This window comes from Homo sapiens, chromosome 8, assembly GCF_000001405.40.
Source record: "Homo sapiens chromosome 8, GRCh38.p14 Primary Assembly".
NCBI classification, from domain to species: Eukaryota; Metazoa; Chordata; class Mammalia; order Primates; family Hominidae; genus Homo; species Homo sapiens.
This window is the reverse complement of record NC_000008.11, coordinates 127,297,494-127,320,053: the sequence shown is the minus strand read 5'-3', so window position 1 is coordinate 127,320,053 and position 22,560 is coordinate 127,297,494. Positions and strand designations below refer to the sequence as shown.

Below are 22,560 nucleotides of genomic sequence, written 5' to 3'. Positions count from 1 at the left end.
GTCCTTCGCCCACTTTTTGATGGAGTTGTTTGTTTTTTTCTTGTAAATTTGTTTGAGTTCATTGTAGATTCTGGATATTAGCCCTTTGTCAGATGAGTAGGTTGTGAAAATTTTCTCCCATTTTGTAGGTTGCCTGTTCACTCTGATGGTAGTTTCTTTTGCTGTGCAGAAGCTCTTTAGTTTAATTAGATCCCATTTGTCAATTTTGTCTTTTGTTGCCATTGCTTTTGGTGTTTTGGACATGAAGTCCTTGCCCACGCCTATGTCCTTAATGGTAATGCCTAGGTTTTCTTCTAGGGTTTTTATGGTTTTAGGTCTAACGTTTAAATCTTTAATCCATCTTGAATTGATTTTTGTATAAGGTGTAAGGAAGGGATCCAGTTTCAGCTTTCTACATATGGTTAGCCAGTTTTCCCAGCACCATTTATTAAATAGGGAATCCTTTCCCCATTGCTTGTTTTTCTCAGGTTTGTCAAAGATCAGATAGTTGTAGATATGCCGCGTTATTTCTGATGGCTCTGTTCTGTTCCATTGATCTATATCTCTGTTTTGGTACCAGCACCATGCTGTTTTGGTTACTGTAGCCTTGTAGTATAGTTTGAAGTCAGGTAGTGTGATGCCTCCAGCTTTGTTCTTTTGGCTTAGGATTGACTTGGCGATGCGGGCTCTTTTTTGGTTCCATATGAACTTTAAAGTAGTTTTTTCCAATTCTGTGAGGAAAATCATTGGTAGCTTTATGGGGATGGCATTGAATCTGTAAATTACCTTGGGCAGTATGGCCATTTTCACGATATTGATTCTTCCTACCCATGAGCATGGAATGTTCTTCCATTTGTTTTATCCTCTTTTATTTCCTTGAGCAGTGGTTTGTAGTTCTCCTTGAAGAAGTCCTTCACATCCCTTGTAAGTTAGATTCCTAGGTATTTTATTCTCTTTGAAGCAATTGTGAATGGGAGTTCACTCATGATTTGGCTCTCTGTTTGTCTGTTGTTGGTGTATAAGAATGCTTGTGATTTTTGTACATTGATTTTGTATCCTGAGACTTTGCTGAAGTTGCTTATCAGCTTAAGGAGATTTTGGGCTGAGACAATGGGGTTTTCTAGATATACAATCATGTCGTCTGCAAACAGGGACAATTTGACTTCCTCGTTTCCTAATTGAATACCCTTTATTTCCTTCTCCTGCCTAATTGCCCTGGCCAGAACTTCCAACACTATGTTGAATAGGAGTGGTGAGAGAGGGCATCCCTGTCTTGTGCCAGTTTTCAAAGGTAATGCTTCCCGTTTTTGCCCATTTAGTATGATATTGGCTGTGGGTCTGTCATAGATAGCTCTTATTATTTTGAAATACGTCCCATCAATACCTAATTTATTTATTTTTTTTTAAAGGATTATACACCATGACCAAGTAGAATTTATTCCTAGAATGCAAGGATGGTTCAACATATGAGAATTAATTAACATAATATTAACATAATTAATTAACATTAATTATTTAACATTAACATTAACAGAATGAAGGAGAAAACCCACATGATCATCTTAATTGATGCAGAAAAAAGCATTTTACAAAATGTAATACCCTTTCATGATAAAAATGTACAACAAACCAGAAATAAAAAAACCACCTCCATGTAAAAACTATATATGAAAAACCCACAGCTAACATAATACTCAGTTTGCCTTTTCATGGGACTAGTTTTGAATGAAGTTTTAAAACAAATAAGATTTTCCCAATATTGTTCTATTCCAATTGCATTCTGTTGGTCAAAGCTCATCAAACATATAAACCTGATCCAAAGGGAGGGAGCTGAAAATTTACATGACAAAGGATGTGGATACAGGGGCTATAAAAGGTTGTGGGAATTTGGCAATATATCACAGCCATCTTCATGTTTGTAATGGATATTTTTTTTCAGGCCACACATCATATATTCAGCCTATTTTCACCAATTGTATTCCAATTTCTTTTTGGTGAACTATTTCTTCCCCAATGTATGCACTCTTGGTAAATTAAGCTATTTTGTGCTCCTATGTAATCTAAGCTAGGGGTGGCAGAGCAGGACCAGAACTAGGTTAAGGCAAGTGAAGTTCTTAGGGTGCAAAATTTAAGTAGCACACGTATTTATATAACATTGAGTGTATTAATCTTTTTTTTTTATTAAATTTATTTTTTTATTGATAATTCTTGGGTGTTTCTCACAGAGGGGGATTTGGCAGGGTCATGGGACAATAGTGGAGGGAAGGTCAGCAGATAAACAAGTGAACAAAGGTCTCTGGTTTTCCTAGGCAGAGGACCCTGCGGCCTTCCGCAGTGTTTGTGTCCCTGATTACTTGAGATTAGGGATTGGTGATGACTCTTAACGAGCATGCTGCCTTCAAGCATCTGTTTAACAAAGCACATCTTGCACCGCCCTTAATCCATTTAACCCTGAGTGGACACAGCACATGTTTCAGAGAGCACCGGGTTGGGGGTAAGGTCACAGATCAACAGGATCCCAAGGCAGAGGAATTTTTCTTAGTGCAGAACAAAATGAAAAGTCTCCCATGTCTACTTCTTTCTACACAGACACGGCAACCATCCGATTTCTCAATCTTTTCCCCACCTTTCCCGCCTTTCTATTCCACAAAGCCGCCATTGTCATCCTGGCCCGTTCTCAATGAGCTGTTGGGCACACCTCCCAGACGGGGTGGTGGCCGGGCAGAGGGGCTCCTCACTTCCCAGTAGGGGCGGCTGGGCAGAGGCGCCCCTCACCTCCCGGACGGGCGGCTGGCGGGCGGGGGACTGACCCCCCAACCTCCCTCCCGGACGGGGCGGCTGGCGGGCAGAGGGGCTCCTCACTTCCCAGTAGGAGCGGCCGGGCAGAGGCGCCCCTCACCTCCCGGACGGGGCGGCTGGCCGGGCGGGGGGGCTGACCCCCCCCCACCTCCCTCCCGGACGGGGCAGCTGGCCAGGCAGGGGGGCTGACCCCCCCCCACCTCCCTCCTGGACGGGGCAGCTGGCCGGGCAGAGGGGCTCCTCACTTCCCAGTAGGGGCGGCCGGGTAGAGGCGCCCCTCACCTCCCGGACGGGGTGGCTGGCCGGGCGGGGGACTGACTCCCCCACACCTCCCTCCCGGACGGGGCGGCTGGCCGGGCGGGGGGCCGAACCCCCCACCTCCCTCCCGGACGGGGCGGCTGGCCGGGCGGGGGGCCGACCCCCCCACTTCCCTCCCGGACGGGGCGGCTGGCCGGGCGGGGGGCCGACCCCCCCACTTCCCTCCCGGACGGGGCGGCTGGCCGGGCGGGGGGCCGACCCCCCCACCTCCCTCCTGGACGGGGCGGCTGGCCGGGCAGAGGGGCTCCTCACTTCCCAGTAGGGGCGGCCGGGCAGAGGCGCCCCTCACCTCCCAGACGGGGCAGCTGGCCAGGCGGAGGGCTGACCCCCCCACCTCCCTCCCGGACGGGGTGGCTGGCCGGGCGGGGGGCTGACCCCCCACCTTCCTCCCGGATGGCACGGCTGGCCAGGCGGGGGGCTGACCCCCCCACCTCCCTCCCGGACGGGGCGGCTGGCCGGGCAGGGGGCTGACCCCCCCACCTTCCTCCCAGACGGCACGGCTGGCCAGGCGGGGGGCTGACCCCCCCCACCTCCCTCCCGGACAGGGTGGCTGCCGGGCGGAGACGCTCCTCACTTCCCAGATGGGGTGGCTGCCGGTTGGAGAGGCTCGTCACTTCTCAGACGGGGCAGCTGCCGGGCGGAGGGGCTCCTCACTTCTCAGACGGGGCGGCCGGGCAGAGACGCTCCTCACCTCCCAGATGGGGTCTCGGCCGGGCAGAGGCGCTCCTCACGTCCCAGATGGGGCGGCGGGGCAGAGGCGCTCCCCACATCTCAGATGATGGGCGGCCAGGCAGAGACGCTCCTCACTTCCTAGATGTGATGGCGGCCGGGAAGAGGCGCTCCTCACTTCCTAGATGGGATGGCGGCCGGGCGGAGACGCTCCTCACTTTCCAGACTGGGCAGCCAGGCAGAGGGGCTCCTCACATCCCAGACGATGGGCGGCCAGGCAGAGACACTCCTCACTTCCCAGACGGGGTGGCGGCCGGGCAGAGGCTGCAATCTCGGCACTTTGGGAGGCCAAGGCAGGCGGCTGCTCCCTGCCCTCGGGCCCCGCGGGGCCCTTCCGCTCCTCCCAGCCGCTGCCTCCCGGGCGGCGCTCGCCGGCGCGGCGGCAAAGACTGAGACAGCTCCGCTGCCCGCTGAACTCCATCCTCCCGGCGGTCGGGCGGCGGCGGCTGCGGTCGGTCGCGGCAGCGGCTCCGCTTCATATCTGCAGCTGGGGCCCGCGGGCGTCAGCGCCGCGACTGTCCCGGCTCCGCACTGCCCCGGGCCGCAGCGCAGCGGCGCCAACCACCACCCGCGGCCACCATGGCCGGCAATTTTTTTTTTTTTTTTTTTTTTTTTTTTTTTTTTTTTTAAAGCTAGGGCCTCACTTTGTCACCCAGGCTGGAGTCCAGTGGCACGATCATGGCTCACTATAACCTTAAACTCCTGAATTCAAGTCATCCTCCCGCCCCGGCCTCCCAAATAGCTGGGGCCACAGACACATACCCACCACACCAAGCTAATTTTTTTTTTAAGAGACCCAATACCTAATTTATTAAGAGTTTTTAGCATGAAGGGTTGTTGAATTTTGTCAAAGGCCTATTCTGCATCTATTGAGATAATCATGTGGTTTTTGTCTTTGGCTCTGTTTATATGCTGGATTACATTTATTGATTTGCATATATTGAACCAGCCTTGCATCCCAGGGATGAAGCCCACTTGATCATGGTGGATAAGCATTTTGATGTGCTGCTGGATTCGTTTGGCCAGTATTTTATTGAGGATTTTTGCATCAATGTTCATCAAGGATATTGGTCTAAAATTCTCTTTTTTGGTTGTGTCTCTGCCCAGCTTTGGTATCAGAAAGATGCTGGCCTCATAAAATGAGTTAGGGAGGATTCCCTCTTTTTCTATTGATTGGAATAGTTTCAGAAGGAATGGTACCAGTTCCTCCTTGTACCTCTGGTAGAATTCGGCTGTGAATCCATCTGGTCCTGGACTCTTTTTGGTGGGTAAACTATTGATTATTGCCACAATTTCAGCTCCTGTTATTGGTCTATTCAGAGATTCAACTTCTTCCTGGTTTAGTCTTGGGAGAGTGTATGTGTCAAGGAATTTATCCATTTCTTCTAGATTTTCTAGTTTATTTGTGTAGAGGTGTTTGTAGTATTCTCTGATGGTAGTTTGTATTTCTGTGGGATCAGTGGTGATATCCCCTTTATCACTTTTTATTGCGTCTATTTGATTCTTCTCTCTTTTTTTCTTTATTAATTTTGCTAGTGGTCTATCAATTTTGTTGATCCTTTCAAAAAACCAGCTCCTGGATTCATTAATTTTTTGAAGGGTTTTTTGTGTCTCTATTTCCTTCAGTTCTACTCGGATTTTAGTTATTTCTTGCCTTCTGCTAGCTTTTGAATGTGTTTGCTCTTGCTTTTCTAGTTCTTTTAATTGTGATGTTAGGGTGTCAATTTTGGATCTTTCCTGCTTTCTCTTGTGGGCATTTAGTGCTATAAATTTCCCTCTACACACTGCTTTGAATGCATCCCAGAGATTGTGGTATGTTGTGTCTTCGTTCTTGTTGGTTTCAAAGAACATCTTTATTTCTGCCTTCATTTCGTTATGTATCCAGTAGTCATTCAGGAGCAGGTTGTTCAGTTTCCATGTAGCTGAGCGGTTTTGAGTGAGATTCTTAATTCTGAGTTCTAGTTTGATTGCACTGTGGTCTGAGAGACAGTTTGTTATAATTTCTGTTCTTTTACATTTGCTGAGGAGAGCTTTACTTCCAAGTATGTGGTCCATTTTGGAACAGGTGTGGTGTGGTGCTGAAAAAAATGTATATTCTGTTGATTTGGGGTGGAGAGTTCTGTAGATGTCTATTAGGTCCGCTTGGTGCAGAGCTGAGTTCAATTCCTGGGTATCCTTGTTGACTTTCTGTCTCATTGATCTGTCTAATGTTGACAGTGGGGTGTTAAAGTCTCCCATTATTAATGTGTGGGAGTCTAAGTCTCTTTGTAGGTCACTCAGGACTTGCTTTATGAATCTGGGTGCTCCTGTATTGGGTGCATATATATTTAGGATAGTTAGCTCTTCTTGTTGAATTGATCCCTTTACCATTATGTAATGGCTTTCTTTGTCTCTTTTGATCTTTGTTGGTTTAAAGTCTGTTTTATCAGAGACTAGGATTGCAACCCCTGCCTTTTTTTGTTTTCCATTTGCTTGGTAGATCTTCCCCCATCCTTTTATTTTGAGCCTATGTGTGTCTCTGCACGTGAGATGGGTTTCCTGAATACAGCACACTGATGGGTCTTGACTCTTTATCCAATTTGCCAGTCTGTGTCTTTTAATTGGAGCATTTAGTCCATTTACATTTAAAGTTAATATTGTTATGTGTGAATTTGATCCTGTCATTATGATGTTAGCTGGTGATTTTGCTCGTTAGTTGATGCAGTTTCTTCCTAGTCTTGATGGTCTTTACATTTTGGCATGATTTTGCAGTGGCTGGTACCGGTTGTTCCTTTCCATGTTTAGCGCTTCCTTCAGGAGCTCTTTTAGACCAGGCCTGGTGGTGACAAAATCTCTCAGCATTTGCCTGTCTGTAAAGGATTTTATTTCTCCTTCACTTATGAAGCTTAGTTTGGCTGGATATGAAATTCTGGGTTGAAAATTCTTTTCTTTAAGAATGTTGAATATTGGCCCCCACTCTCTTCTGGCTTGTAGGGTTTCTGCCGAGAGATCTGCTGTTAGTCTGATGGGCTTCCCTTTGAGGGTAACCTGACCTTTCTCTCTGGCTGCCCTTAACATTTTTTCCTTCATTTCAACTTTGGTGAATCTGACAATTATGTGTCTTGGAGTTGCTCTTCTCGAGTAGTATCCTTGTGGTGTTCTCTGTATTTCCTGAATCTGAACGTTGGCCTGCCTTGCTAGATTGGGGAAGTTCTCCTGGATAATATCCTGCAGAGTGTTTTCCAACTGGGTTCCATTCTCCCCATCACTTTCAGGTACACCAATCAGATGTAGATTTGGTCTTTTCACATAGTCCCATATTTCTTGGAGGCTTTGCTCATTTCTTTTTATTCTTTTTTCTCTAAAGTTCCCTTCTTGCTTCATTTCATTCATTTCATCTTCCATTGCTGATACCCTTTCTTCAAGTTGATCACATCGGCTCCTGAGGCTTCTGCATTCTTCACGTAGTTCTCAAGCCTTGGTTTTCAGCTCCATCAGCTCCTTTAAGCACTTCTGTGTATTGGTTATTCTAGTTATACATTCTTCTAAATTTTTTTCAAAGTTTTCAACTTCTTTGCCTTTGGTTTGAATGTCCTCCCATAGCTCAGAGTAATTTGATTGTCTGAAGCCTTCTTCTCTCAGCTCGTCAAAGTCATTCTCCATCCAGCTTTGTTCCGTTGCTGGTGAGGAACTGCGTTCCTTTGGAGGAGGAGGGGTGCTCTGCGTTTTAGAGTTTCCCATTTTTCTGTTCTGTTTTTTCCCCATCTTTGTGGTTTTATCTACTTTTGGTCTTTGATGATGGTGATGTACAGATGGGTTTTCGGTGTGGATGTCCTTTCTGTTTGTTAGTTTTCCTTCTAACAGACAGGACCCTCAGCTGCAGGTCTGTTGGAATACCCTGCAGTGTGAGGTGTCAGTGTGCCCCTGCTGGGGGGTGCCTCCCAGTTAGGCTGCTCGGGGTTCAGGGGTCAGGGACCCACTTGAGGAGGCAGTCTGCCCGTTCTCAGATCTCCAGCTGCGTGCTGGGAGAACCACTGCTCTCTTCAAAGCTGTCAGACAGGGACATTTAAGTCTGCAGAGGTTACTGCTGTCTTTTTGTTTGTCTGTGCCCTGCCCCCAGAGGTGGAGCCTACAGAGGCAGGCAGGCCTCCTTGAGCTGTGGTGGGCTCCACCCAGTTCGAGCTTCCCGGCTGGCTGCTTTGTTTACCTAAGCAAGCCTGGGCAATGGCGGGCGCCCCTCCCCCAGCCTCGCTGCTGCCTTGCAGTTTGATCTCAGACTGCTGTGCTAGCAATCAGCAAGACTCCGTGGGCGTAGGACCCTCCGAGCCAGGTGCGGGATATAATCTCGTGGTGCGCCGTTTTTTAAGCTGGTCCGAGAAGCGCAATATTCAGGTGGGAGTGACCCGATTTTCCAGGTGCGTCCATCACCCCTTTCTTTGACTCGGAAAGGGAACTCCCTGACCCCTTGCACTTCCCAAGTGAGGCAATGCCTCACCTTGCTTTGGCTTGCGCACGGTGCGCACACCCACTGACCTGTGCCCACTGTCTGGCACTCCCTAGTGAGATGAACCCGGTACCTCCGATGGAAATGCAGAAATCACCCATTTTCCGCGTCGCTCACGCTGGGAGCTGTAGACCGGAGCTGTTCCTATTTGGCCATCTTGGCTCCTCCCCGGCATTTTTCTTACTTTTTATTTAGGACCAGTTTGTTGTCTTGCGACCTCAGTTCTCTGATTAGTTTAAATAAATAAATAAATAAATAAAAATAAAGAGCTGTGAATCTGCAGATTCTTTAGCATTATTTTCTAGTACTTCTAGGAGTGCTACTCTTTCCTGCTTTCTATATCCTAAGTAGAAGCCAAAAGTCTTTCACATTTTTTTTTCCTATTTATTGAGGTATAATTGATAAACAAATATTGTATATATTTAAGGTGCATAGCTTGATGTCTTGATACACATATACATTTTGAAATAAACACTATAATCAAGGTGATTAATATATCCACCATTTCATCAACATGAGATAACTATTTACCATTTTCTGTTCTCTCTTTTTTTTTCTGGTGGTAAAAACAGTTATCTATCCTCTTAGCAATTTGCACAGCATTCTTTGTGATGGAGTCACAGACACTAAATGGAAGGTTTCCATTGAGCTTTCTTTCTATCATTCAAGGAATTTAATTTAATAAACGCTTCTGGCCACGTAAGACCCCCCAGATCTTGCCTTCAGGCAGCTCATAGTCTGCTGGGAGGAACAAATACAGCAACAGATAATTTTTGAATAGCAAGTAAGTGCTAAAATAAAGGTAATCTATGCTAACAAATAAAGGGGATAAACGGATCACTGCTTGGGTAAAAAACACTTAGATTTTATAGGGGAGATGACACTTGCATTAGTTCTCAAAACAAAAATATTTTACCAGCATAGAAAGCAGGGTAGAACCTTCTAAAAAGAAGAAACATCATATTTTGAGTAGTGGATTTAGCATAATTTGTCTGAACAAATTTATATGGGTAGAACAATATTATGCTCCACTTACAGACCCTGTTGTTAACAGTTTGGTGTAAGGACATTCAAACTTTTCCCCCGGCATATATATTTATTTATTTGTGTAAAATGAAATAATATAGTGTATTCTGAAAGATCTGATAACTGCTTAATAATCAATGATGCTGAATAATTCACATTTTCTCTTGTTTTAACATTTCACTTATTTTTATTTATTTTGCTTTTGTAAATGATTGTTATAAATGTCTTTTAGGTGCAGTACATATTTTTTTCATTGCTTTTGGATTATTTTATTGCATGTATTTATATAAGGGAGTTTCTGAATTAAAGACTACTGACATTTCCAAGACTTTGGTACATGCTACCAAATTGCTTTTCAAAGTGGTACCTCCAATATTTGCCTTCTCAGTAGTTTATGAAAGTGCCCATCTCATCACATACTCACAGGAATACTGTATTCGCATTAAAAAAAACTTGGCTAATTTGGTAGCTAAAAATGGCATTTTATTAACATTTAGAAGTTTGTATTATTTGAATATAAGTAGGTCTCATAACTTGAAATATTTCTATTAACCATTTTGCTTCCTCTTTTGTAAATCCTCCTTTTATGCCCTTTGCCCATTTATATATTGGAAAATCTGGTTTTTCGTCTCTCTTTGAGAGTTGTAGATGATTGTATTATATTTATTGGCTCTAAATATTAGGAAATCTTCCTTTTAAAACCTAGAGCAGGAGCGCCTAAATCTGACTGCTCAAAAATGCCTTTGGAGCTCTAAAAATTTATACATTCTTGGGCCCGACCTGATTCAGTAGTTCTAGTGCAAAGCTCAGGAATCTGCATAAAACTTTCAGAGAATTCTGATATGTTAGCTCAGTTGAGGAACCTCTACTCTTGTCTCCCATAGTCCAGTTACCCTGTTTTGTTGTCATATTTAGCCTTGTAGGGTGTGCGCTTCACCTGACAGTAAGCTGGTGAAGGCTGTGTTGCAGAGGATGAGCCTGGAGAACACTGGCTTTTCAGTTGGCTGATGTTTAAATTCCAACTTTGGTGCTTGCTAGGAGGTGGGACTAGGGCATCTTGGCTGTTTCATTTTCCTCATCTTTAAATGGGGAGAATAATATTTTCTATAATTACCACTTTACTACTAAATCAAGGCTACCAGTTACTAAATTTTTGTAATGGTTCTAGGATAAGATAGTAAGGGTCTGAAAGAGAAGGAAAGAACAGAGCCATTAGATGAAAGAATGGAAAGGTTATGCTGTCCTCTCCTCACTTTTATTGAATGCTGACTGTCGTAGGTCTTATGAGTAGCGGTAACACTATATTATCTCATTTATTCTTTATATCAGCCCTGAGACAGGTTCTATGCCCATTTCCAATGAAGAAACTGACATAACAGGGAGAATGAAGTTATCATTTACCAATACAAGGAAGACTCTAGAAAAATCAGGTTTGGGGATGAAGATCAGAAGCTCCATTTTGTGCATGTTAAGTTTGAGATATATGTTCATCATCAAATGGAGATATTAAAGAAGACAGTTGCATTACGACTGTAGAGTTTAAGGGAGAGATCCGGGCTAAAAGTATAAATTTGGAAGTCATCAGCACATTGGTGTTAGTAAATACAATGGGAAGAATGAACTCTCGGCACAAGCACCAGGTGAGTACAGGCGGAAAAGAGGAGTGGGGCCAAGACCTGAGCTGTGGTCTTGGTGCTGAGAGATTAGGAAGACTGGGAGCAACTGGCAAAGAAGATTGATAAGAATTGGTGAGTGAGGAAGGAGGAAATTTAGGAGAGGGTGGCATCTTGGAAGCCAAGTGAAGAAAGAATACCTACTTGATAAGTATTTTGAAATGAATTAATGATGTATCTAGGCAAAATCCAAATTCAGATCTCTTTGACCCAGGAGACTATACATTCTTTTTTTCTATTATTATTTTTTGAGACAGAATTTCACTCTTGTTGCCCAAGCTGGAGTGCAACGGTGCAATCTCAGTTCACTGCAACGTCTGCCTCCCAGGTTCAAGTGATTCCCCTGCCTCAGCCTCCCAAGTTGCTGGGATTACAGGTGCTACGGGCACGTGCCACCACGCCCAGCTAATTTTTTGTATTTTTAGTAGAAACAGGGTTTCATCATGTTAGCCAGGCTAATCTCAAACTCCTGACCTCAGGTGATCTACCTGCCTCGGCCTCCCAAAGTGCTGGGATTACAGGTGTGAGCCACCATGCCCAGGCTATATCTACTATTTATTGTCCCAGGGGCTGACAAACTGTTTTTTAGAAGATACAGTTAATTAATATTGTAGACTTTGTGAGCCAACAGGCAAAATTGAGGCTATCACTCAGTGCTTGTATAAGCATTTAAAATGTATTCACTAGACTAGCCTAAAAAAATAAAATAAAATAAAATGTAACCACTTCAAAATTTAAAAATTATTCTTAGCTCAAGAGCCATAAAACAAAACAAAACAAAAAACCAGGCTGCTGGCCCATGGCCGCAGTTTGCCTCCCTCTTCCCTACATATTATTCACTTTGATTCTGGAAATATTTATTACTAAAATGATAATACTCAAGCATCACCATCTTAATCAGCTATCTCAGTCTCACATAAAATTCCACAATAACCCAAATGGACTTATTTCACCAGTAGCATAATTTAACGTTTTTTCTTATATAAAGGTGGCCTGTATCTAATCCAGCAATTTTATTTCTCCCAAGACACTATTTCTTGTTCCATTTTGCTTAGCTACATAGTTGGCAAAGAAATGGAGCATGGAAGCAAGCACAGAATTTGCATGAGTGTATTTGTCATAGGCTGTGGCCCCTAAAGTGAGTTTCTAACCTGAGAGTGTGACAGAGAGAAAGGGTATTTCCCTCTCTTGTTTTCTTTCTGAATGTCATCCTCAGAAACCTCAACTAAGTCACATTTATTCTCCCCAGGGTCATACCAAAGGGTGTCATTATGATTCATTCCTCCAGCATATGAACTCTGCCCACAGAAGCAGTTTTTAGAAAGATAAAGTTCAAACTTAGTACTATTGACTTCTATTTTTCTTAACTTGATTTCTATCAAAAACCAGTTCAATGACCTAAAGTCATTTACTCTCCTCTTCTGCAGTGCCTTCTGTCTATGCTTTCCACATCCCTCCCCAATCCCCTAAATCTGAAAACTGAGGAATATACTCACACATAGAGCTTCCAAGATCCCTGGGCCATTTTTGTTTCCTCAATGCTACTCTCCCCTAAACTGTTCCACAAGGACAAATAGACTCATTGGGAAAACAGTAACTGCACACATTTCTCATTCACCTCTCAGGACACGTGTATTTGCAGATATTTCCAATCAATCATGAAGTGATTGCTGCTAGAAATTCTCCCAAAGGTCAACCTGCCTTCTTGAAATTGCTTCTATTTAGAAAAACACTTTAATTATCATAACCAATGACCTTTGCTGAGCGATCTCTCTAGACGGAAAGTGATCAAAGGGTGTTAAACTTTGGGCTCAGGTAACAGGACATCCTCCCTACACATCTAATTCAGTCTTGGCTCCTTATGTAGCTGTATTGAATCTGTTCTTGCCCTACAATTGGGAATGAGGTGCTCTTTCTCCCTTCCCTCTTGTGCTGTTGGCTGGGGCTGCCAAATACTGCACAAGCTTCTTCTTTCTTTCAGAAAACCCATCTTTTCTTTCTTTCTGTATCAAGAGTGTTTCTTTTGCCCAGACTCCCTATGGCCAACTCAGATGAAGTTTGCTATTTATCCTGAGGTCTATCTGGCTTCAGTAAAATGCTTTGTAAACTATGAGATTTGTAAATTTGTAATTTTTCTTCCTCAGGACCCAGGACAATGCCTGCCACAAGTTAGATAATCAGTGAATGTGTCTTACATTATGCTAAGGAGATGGCTTATTACTGGTATCTGATTGGCAGATTTGAAAGGGGAAAGTAAAAAGTGAGAAGGCCAATTTATTACCCAGGAAAATCCTGGATAATAGACTATGATCCCCTGTGGGCAGAAAATAAATGTTTGTTGACCCAATAATGATGAGCATGGAGCTGGTGCAGTGGTTGTGGGAATAAAGCAGAAAGAGCTGTCTCTGAGAAATGGAGTGGAGAAAGAAATGTCAAGCAGGGAGCTGACCTGAATGGAGGAAGAAGTCAAAGCAAATTATAGGCTACTAATCTGAAGACTGGCAACCAGAGAGTTTGTTAAAGAGAGAATCATCTGAGAGTCAAGAGATATGGGTTCCATGCTTGCTTCCTTCTCTTCTGTAATACCAGGCAAGCTACTTAATCCTCTTAGCCTCAGCTTCCCCATATTTAAAATAGATGGAACAACACACAGCACAGTTATTGCAAGAATTATTATTTTCTATTAATAACTCCTTTCAGTGCCCAACTCAAGAGCTGACACATGAAAATTCCTAGCAAATAGGCAAACTGTGCTGGGTAAGATCCTTTTGCTGGTAGGAGAAAGGAGCCATCTCCAGGACGGTGAAATCACAAGGCATTTGTAATACTTGCCCTGATGGGACCCAAGGGCTAACAGCATGTACAGAAGAGCATTGTCTTTTCAAATCTGCTTGTAATCCTTGCAGAGACTCATATGTCACTTTAAAGGGTTAACAGGAAACTAGATGTCATCTTGTCAGCCTTCCTGATCTCTTCCAGCTGAAAGTCTTCTAATTCTGCTCTGAGCACCCACCCCACCCCCATCTGTACTTTGCTGGTAGTACATTTCCCTGTCCACCTCAGACCTTGGATATTTAATGCTCTTGGCTTATCTATCTCTCTAGAAGGTAGGCAAGTTGGAAGCAAGAGTCATGGCTGGGTTACCAATAAATCCCACAGAGTCCTGCCAACATGTCTTATGCTGGCAGAAGTTCGTGACATGCTTGTTGAGTAGCTGGGTGGATGGATGGACTGATGGAGGGATAGACGTGCCACTAGACTTGTTCAGTACTAGTCTAGAATCTCAAGGTGTTGGCAGAGAGCCTGCCCCATAGTGGACAATCAACATGCACCGGCTCACTGAATGGGCACAAAGATGTCCCTTCCATTTTGTTCTCACCGATCTCTGGGTCCTAGCACAGACCTGGAACTTAGAAAACTCTTGTACAGTCTTGTTGACTGACTTACTCACTGTATTTCTGAACCACAAGAAACCAACCAGCACAGAAAGAGATGCCAGCAAGATGGTTTCACTTAATGCATTCCTCTCCAAAAGAGATTCCCACCATGGTTAGTATATGCTTTTCCCTGAACCTCCAGTCTCCCATCTGGAGCAGAAGTAGGAAAACCACAGCCCATGGGCCAAATCCAGTCTGCTGCCCCCTGCTTTTGTAAACAAAATTTAACCCGGAACAAGTCTGAAGTGTGATTCTTCAGTTTTATGAGGTGGCCCTATTTCTAATTTTGCTTCACTCGAAGCTGTCATCCAAACATTTCAATTTGACCTTGTTCCACCAACACCCCATTGGCCCTCCAGTGCTCCCACTCTCTCCACATCTCCATGTGGCAGTTTCAAATCTCTGCCCACAGTTCCCTAGCTTCCTACCCCTGCAATAAGAGTCGGACTTTGCTTCGTCTCACTCCCCAAATCCCTGTTGCCTCTGTGACCTTGCCAAATCTCCTCTTTCAGAAATGTACCTCATCCTGCCTCCTTTCACCTGGCTCAAATGTGTCTCCTCCAGGAAACCTTTTTGATGCTGGTATCCCTCTTCTGTGTCCCAATCACCTGCCATGCATTTACCATTGCTACCTGTCTAGTTTGCAGGCAGGGCATGGTGGCAGAAGCTAGCCTTCTTTCGGGACACTCACTGGCCATCCCCACTGCCAAGAACACCTGCCCTTCCGGCTTCTCTTCCCTAGCCCACTCTTATTCCTGAAAGTCTCATTTGAAATGTTACTGCCTCAGAAAAGCCATTCCTGAAGCCCCTGCCTATACTCCAAGGTCAAGGCCTGTGTCTTCACAGCCCTTTTTCAAGGAATTTATTCCAATAAAATTAGATGGCTTATGGTGTGATTATTTATTAATGTCTTCCTACCCATTAAACAGACAGCTTCATCAAGGCAAGCCAGCCATCTGTTCTATAGACCAAGTGTTTCCTCAGACTTGGTCCACACCAGTAGACAGTTTTCTAGTGAATGAATAGAGTTAACGTCACTCTAAATTAAATTAATCAAGTTGGAGCTGGGTGCGGTAGCTCGCGCCTGTAATCCCAGCACTTTGGGAGGCCGAGGCAGGCAGATCACCTGAGGTCAGGAGTTCAAGAGCAGCCTGGCCAACATGGCAAAACTCCATTTATATTAAACATACAAAAATTAGCCAGGCGTGGTGGTGGCAGGTGCCTGTAGTCCCAGCTACTCAGGAGGCTGAGGCAGGAGAATTGCTTGAACCCATGAGGTGGAGGTTGCAGTCAGCCGAGATTGCACCACCGCACTCCACCCTGGGCAACAGAGCAAGACTCTGTCTCAAAATAATAATAATATTAATAATTAATAATAGTAATAATAATAAAGTTGGGAATGGGTCAGTTAACAAAAGACACCAAGATAGAAACCATCGTCTCCACCAGTTAGCGACACAGAGGATGGATGTGTGCATTAGGCTTTTCTCTGAGAATAGGATTTTGTCCTATCCAAGAAAAATGACAAACACCCATGAAGAGGGTTTTATTTTTTCTTGGTGGAAATGAAAGTATTAGTTTTTCTAATCAAGAGTAAGTCATTTGTCCCCACTTCCCCTGCAAACAACAAAAAAGAACCCATGATATTTGTTGAGAACCAGCTTACAGCCTAATCCTGGCCCTGGAAGCATGCCATTCTCTAATAGATACAATTAAGTTAAAAGACTGGGGTTGGTCACATGGTTTCAGACAATGGCCCTATATTTAGGAGTTTTGTCCCAAATATAATCAGATTCCAAAGGCCTGTGAGGATTTATTTATTTATGAAAATAAGGACCCAGTGCCTTCTGAAATAAGCCCTTTTAGTGCAGCAGCCGTGTACACTGGGGCAGATTTACTCTGAAAAATAACAAGGCTTCTCTGACCCAGGAAAGTCACAGCCTGAAATGCTTATTTTTGAAGCAGCATTTATTTTCTGCTGGTTTAGAACATGTTCCCCTTAGGAATAACCTCCTGGCTGCCCCAGAAATGCTGATATGTGGATTGTGTAATGTCAGCTCTCCTGTGCGCCCTATCTGTGCCTCCTTCCTCGCAGCAGGGAGGCGTTCAGCCCGCCCCTGCCCGTTCCCTGCCTTGCTCTTTTCTAAGAACTGGAAATTATTCCTGAGATGAGAGGAATAAAACATACATAGGACATATCCAGTCTATTTCTGAAGCAGAACATGGAGAAAACCTAGCGAAGAGATTACAAAAAAAGATAAAAGAAGTTTTCTTCCTAGTCCTCACTCCCAATCCCTTCCTGCCCAAGTTTATGTCTGCTAAGGGCTCCTCTCATCAGCCCAACTTCCTGGGCTGCTTTCAGGATCAGGAGAGAGAGGAGCTTCATAATATTTCCATGTTTACTTTTTAGGCAAGGATAGGTAAGAAGGGCCCCATTCACAGAAGCACTGCTCAGACAGGATAGCAGATGGCGGCTGGGTGGGAAGGAACGAAACCCTAGAACATTTCTGTCCTCATGATCCTCTTATGTGCCCTTCTGATCAGAACATGACTCCTGATTGATTTTGAGGAAAGTTCCAATACCTCTGGCTGTCCGCATCCTTCCCTTTTCTCACAGAGTGTGCTCAAGTGTGTCTGGTCATATGGTTTCTGATTTACACCCAACTCCTAGTTCCTCTTTCTCAGGTGGAGGCCTTCAAGACCTGGGGAAATGACACATGCCTCCTTCAATGAGCAGTTGTCATCAACCATCAGTTAGCTCTGAGCTGAGTAGCTTAAATGTGTTAGGCTGGGGAAATGGGGGCATTGAGAGAGCAAGGCAGGGCTTTGCCTTCATTCTAACCATACATATATTCTCCAAGCAGCACAGGGCAAGTCAGAAGATGTGGGTCCAAGATCTGGGCAACTTGGGCTTGTGACTTCACTTCTCTATGACTTAGTTTTCCCATCTGTAAAATGGACTAAGCACCTCTCACTTCTTATTTTACCGGTCTGATGTGGGAATCAAATGGGATGATGCGTGCAGAGGCCTTTGTAAACTCTGCCTCTCTCTGTAATGCAAGCTGCTATGGGTAGATGGCAGGCGAGTGGGGTCAACAAGGTTTTCATCTCAACCCTTGCTGCACATGCAGCTCTGGGGAAAAATGATGCCCTGGAATCATCTGCAGAGTTGAGGGTAGGGCCTGTTATGGGGCTTTTTAGTTTTTAAGGCTCCTAAGGTGATGTTGGTGGGCAGTAGGATTTGGAAACTGCTAGTAAACAAAAAAGTTACAGATGTTACGAGAAAGCAGAACTTGTGGATTAGGGTGAGCAGGCAGGAAAAGCCTTGAAGGAAAAGATGGGAATCTGAGAAGTAGAAGGGACCCAGGCCAAGGGGAGATGGTAAAGAGAATGGAGTGAAGACAAGGGAAAATGAGAAAGGGGAATGAAGGATAGAGGGGGAGCTGGTACATCAATTAATCACAAAGTGGGTGGCACCTGGTCTGGCGAAGGCTGCACCTCTTCCACGAAGCCTGGTGACTCCAAATGTCTCTTATTGGAAGCTTCATGTCACCTTGTGCCACCCTGTCTCCCCATTGCCATATTGTTTTATAATTGTTTGTGTGTGTATCTGTCTCCCTCAGTGGATCAGGGGTTCTTTGAGGGCACAAATTATTTCTTTCACCTCAGCATCTAGCAAGGTTCCTGGCATAGACCAAGAACTTAATACATAATGTCTAAATGACAGGTATTGAGCATCTGGTAAGGACTTATCTTAGGTCTGACTCTGCCACTAATTTACTGGGATGTCTACAACCCACTATTTTGCCTCTTTGGGTTTCAAGGCCCCCCCCCACCCGCCACCAACATTGTGAAATGTGAGTTCTCTAGGAATTCAAGTATGTAGGTAGCACTGTGTCTAGAAAAAAATATTCAGTGAGGTATCAGGCTCAAATAATTAGAACACATTAATTTAGGTCAGTGCTTCTCAAGCTTTAATGTGCCTGCTAAGGTACATGGGGACTTTGTGAAAATGCAGATTCTAATTCAGTAGGCCTGGAGTGGGTCTTGAGATGCCGCATTTCACACAGGCTCCCAGATGATGTCAATGTGGCCTGTCAGCAGAGCTCACTTGAGTAGCATGCGTCAATAGTACTTACTTTCAGGTGAGACCAATGCTGCTGGATTTTGACTCTCACTTGGAGTAGCAGGTGGTTAGGCTGCGTTCGTATGATAACAAAATGATCTGCTGAAAATGTCCCACTCCAGACCCTGAAATAATGATTTTTTTTTTTTTAATTCTTGGCAGAGATACTTTGTTGGCTAGAATTATAGGACATAGGTCAACCAAATCTGGGCTCAAATCCTGTTCCCAACGTTTCTTAATTATATGATTTTAGGCTAGTAACCTCAAAATCTTAGCCTCAGTGTCCTATTCTATCAAATGGTATCACAGAACTTATCTCAAGAAGTATAACTCATAGAGCATGATAATTTATATGAGGATGTAGGTAACGCAATTAGCATACGGTGGGTGCTCAGTACATGCTAATTCTCTTCTTACTGACTTAGCAACACAGGAAGTAAAGAGATTTCAGGAACTATAGGTTTGTTCTTTTCACATCGAGAAAGGAAGCTTAAGTAGTATAGGAAATGCAGTACGTTTCACTTCCTTTCTTCAGGGAACATAAAACCCCCAGGTGTATCTTAGAACAGGATCAGTAAGAGAGAAATAGTAAAAGTGAAAAGTTCTCAGAGGGAGCTGACTCACCACTCCTCAGGGAGAGGTAACCACCCTGTGAGGCTTTGTGAGAAAGGTGGTCTGGGCAGCTTGGGGGAAATATGAAGGAAAAGACAAAGATACAGGAACTCTCCGGCTCACAACAAAGGCCTTCTTTCTTCAACACTCCATTTTCAACACTGAACTCTGACTCTTGTTGGACTTATCTTTAGACACATTCTATTTATTTGATTAGGGTAGAGGAATCAGAACAACTTCATATCCTGGCCTTCTGAGAGGTCTGGTATGAGCACAGGTATTGTTATCTGACTTGATCTTTACTGTGGTCCCTTTCAGTAACCTCCATAATAATTTCTTAGGTTCCTAAATAACAAGCTCTAAGGGCCACTCCTGGGGTGATTTTCAGTGACTTCCCATCAGAATAGTTGTAATCAGCCTTTGTCAATCTTCCACTGTCCCTTTTGCACCTGTCTTCCAATTTCCAGGCACCTGTTAGGCCCAAGCTCACAGTAAGCTGTTATAATGACATCTCTTTGGGACCTCAATCAATAGCTCCCTGGTCAGGTGTGTGCATGCTTTGTATTTAGCTCTCCTGTACTCTACATTTGCTAATCCTAGCCAAGCGTTAAGAAAACAATCTGATTACAGATGTAATCCTGTGACCATCTGCTTGATTTATCACTCCCAGAAAGAATTTGCATTTTGAAAAAGGAGCTTCTTAAAGTAAATGAGTCTTTAATTTTGTGGGTTATTACAATAACTGCTCATTTTATATATATTGAGGGAATTTAAAAACATGCAAATGTGCAGGCCTCAAAATTTTGCATTTTAAAGGTCTCCATTAAGCTTTGAGCATCTGTAGTTTAAAAAACTTTCCAGGTGATTCTGATGTACACCCAGAGTTGCAAACTCCTGGCAATTGGTCGATTATGTATGGGACATTAAAACACATTTTTATTTTTTATTTTTGTCTATTCTTGACCTAAACATCCATCAATTATCCATTGCTGTGTAACAACACACCCTAAAACTTCATGGATTAAACAAAAAATAACAATACTTCTCCTGAATCTGTAGGTCGCTTTGGCTCAGCACGCAGCTCTTCTCTGACTAGTAGTATCAACTGAGTCACTCCTTTGGCTGTATCCAGCTGATGTCTGGGCTGGGTTGGAAGATCTGAGAAGACTTCGTTCACATGGACAGTGCCTCATTCTCTTCCATGTGGCTGGTTTGTTTCTTTTCACAGCATGGTTGTCTCAGGTTAATCAGATTTCTTAGATGGTGGCTGGCTTTATGAATGAAAGCAGAAGCTGCCAGACTTCTTAAACGATAAACCTGGAACTGGCATAGCATCACTTCTGCTATATGTTACTCACCAAGCCAAGTCAAAAGTCCACTCCGGGTTTAAGAGAGTAAGAAGCAGACTATAAATTTTGGTGGGCAGAGTATCATGTGCATAGAGGAAAATAATCAATTCATGGCATCTTGTTTGGAGACTATTTACTGTAACGTCTTCCCATCAATTTGCCAAATAATACGAACTTGCAGCATAACACCTTACCTCTGACGAATGTCAATCCTCATGATATAGGAGTTAAGAAGAAATTACTTAGGCAGATAGTGAGGCTACAGGAGTCCTTGGTAAAGTTTTCCTTTTAATGAAAAGCAGCCCCCAAATCATTTTCTTTTCTAACAAAGAGCAGCCTGTATAATTAAGCTGCAGACATCGATAAGCAAGCTGGAAGCTTGCACGGGTGAATGCCACCAGTTGTGCCGATAGGAAAAGGCTACCTGGGACTAGGCATGTTCAAAATAGTGGCTCCATCTTCCCTTCTCTTTGCCAAACCATGTGTACAGTAAGGAGCAGACAATATGGCCCCTGCTAGGCAAAGACATAATAATAAGATTAGGGTGGGGCAACCAGCCTTTCCCTCTGCACTATGTAAACATCACGCCTGGTCGAACCAATCTGTGAGCCTTACGTAAATCAGACATACCTCCTTAAGCCTGCCTATAAATTCTGGTGCAGTCCACCAAGGGGTGTTTTTTTTTTCCCTTTTGGGAGCTCCTCTGTCTCACAAGGGAGAGAGCTGGTCTCCTCCTTTCTCTTTCTTTTGCCTATTAAACCTCTGCTCCTAAACTCACTCCTCTGTGGTCTGTGTCCTTAATCTTCTTGGCACAAGATGATGAACCCTGGGTATTTACCCCAGACAATGATGCTGCTTCACTTACGCCAAACAAAAAAAGCACCGAATGTCCATATGGACCATCTAAGCATTCAAGACGATCAATGAGTCTCTTAAAAAAGATTTGAGGACTCATGGGTTTCCTCCCTCTCTAATATTGCTGTAGATGTGGCTCAATTGATCAGTTCTAACAAGAGGAACCTCAGGCAATCAATCACTCCGCTTACATTTTTTTCAGTTTCCAAAGCCTAAGGGAGTTTTGTGGGAGGAGAGTATAACCAAATGGAACATGGGCCTTGAGCCCAACAGAAACGGTTTAGACTCTTAGATCTGCCAGCTGTGAGAGACCTTTGGTAAGCTGATTCTCTGAGCCTCTGTTTTGGCTTCAGAAAAGTGAACGTGACATCTTCTTTCAGGCTGTTTGTGAAAACTCAGGGTGATGGTGTTCGTAGATGTCACCTGAACTGTTTAGCAAATGTTGCACCTTTTGCTACTAACATCTCTCTTTTGTAAAAGACATAACTGTAGAAGTATTTAAACTTACAGGAAAAAGAAAGCATTTCGCAAACACTTCTGGGACAAAGAGGAGAGAGAGAGAAAGCTTTGTGTATATTTAATGAGTAAAAGCATATAATTTAAAATGTGAAAGTTAATATCTTGAGTGAGTCACCCAAAATGAATTCTCTGATATTGATAAGCATTGAACGTAGTTTAGTTAGTTTTCCAGAACAATGATTCTACCCTCCTTGGAAAATAGCTTCTAGGAAGTTTAGTGAGGAAGCCTTGAGAAGGCGTCAGCACTCTAAGCCAGGTGGGCTGTAGAGTTACAATCTGAAGCAACCGGTAGAGAGAAAAAAAGAAGAATGGATTACAAAAGATGGGCAAGGTGCCTGGAATTTCACACCTACATCATCTCCTTTGTGGTAAAGGGGAAATCCCAGGATCCATAGCTACCCCTGATATACTAGTATATCCTTGACCTATTGGAGCAAAACTATAGAGAACAATGACTGCATTATTTCACAAGACACCCTTTGATCCAGTTTAGAACACTAGTTTTCCATTCTTCTGTCTAGAATGATGCTATTATATTTCTAACTGAGATTCTTTCAAATCCATAACCTGGTAGTTAATAGGAAAGAAGAATCTCAATGATCTGGGGCCCCTAAACAGAAATGAAGAAGCCTTTTCCCAATCCTGAGATTTTATT

The 22,560-nt window shown here is 43.8% G+C and overlaps 2 long non-coding RNA genes across 2 annotated transcripts in view, besides 2 other annotated features; one reads left to right on the top strand and one right to left on the bottom strand.

Annotated features, from left to right (window-relative positions):
- Positions 1-22,560, bottom strand: part of CASC21 (cancer susceptibility 21) — a 147,995-nt gene that overhangs the window by 72,578 nt on the left and 52,857 nt on the right. The window lies entirely within an intron of this gene.
- CASC8 (cancer susceptibility 8) overlaps positions 1-22,560 on the top strand; it is a 192,464-nt gene that overhangs the window by 162,086 nt on the left and 7,818 nt on the right. The gene's annotated exons all lie outside the window — the stretch shown is intronic.
- Positions 12,325-12,374: an enhancer, noted in NCBI's record as "active region_27940". NCBI's record gives its function as "activates an Ori minimal core promoter by ATAC-STARR-seq in GM12878 lymphoblastoid cells {active_cell/tissue: GM12878}" and the evidence as "EXISTENCE:reporter gene assay evidence [ECO:0000049][PMID:35858748]".
- Positions 16,980-17,139: an enhancer, noted in NCBI's record as "active region_27939". NCBI's record gives its function as "activates an Ori minimal core promoter by ATAC-STARR-seq in GM12878 lymphoblastoid cells {active_cell/tissue: GM12878}" and the evidence as "EXISTENCE:reporter gene assay evidence [ECO:0000049][PMID:35858748]".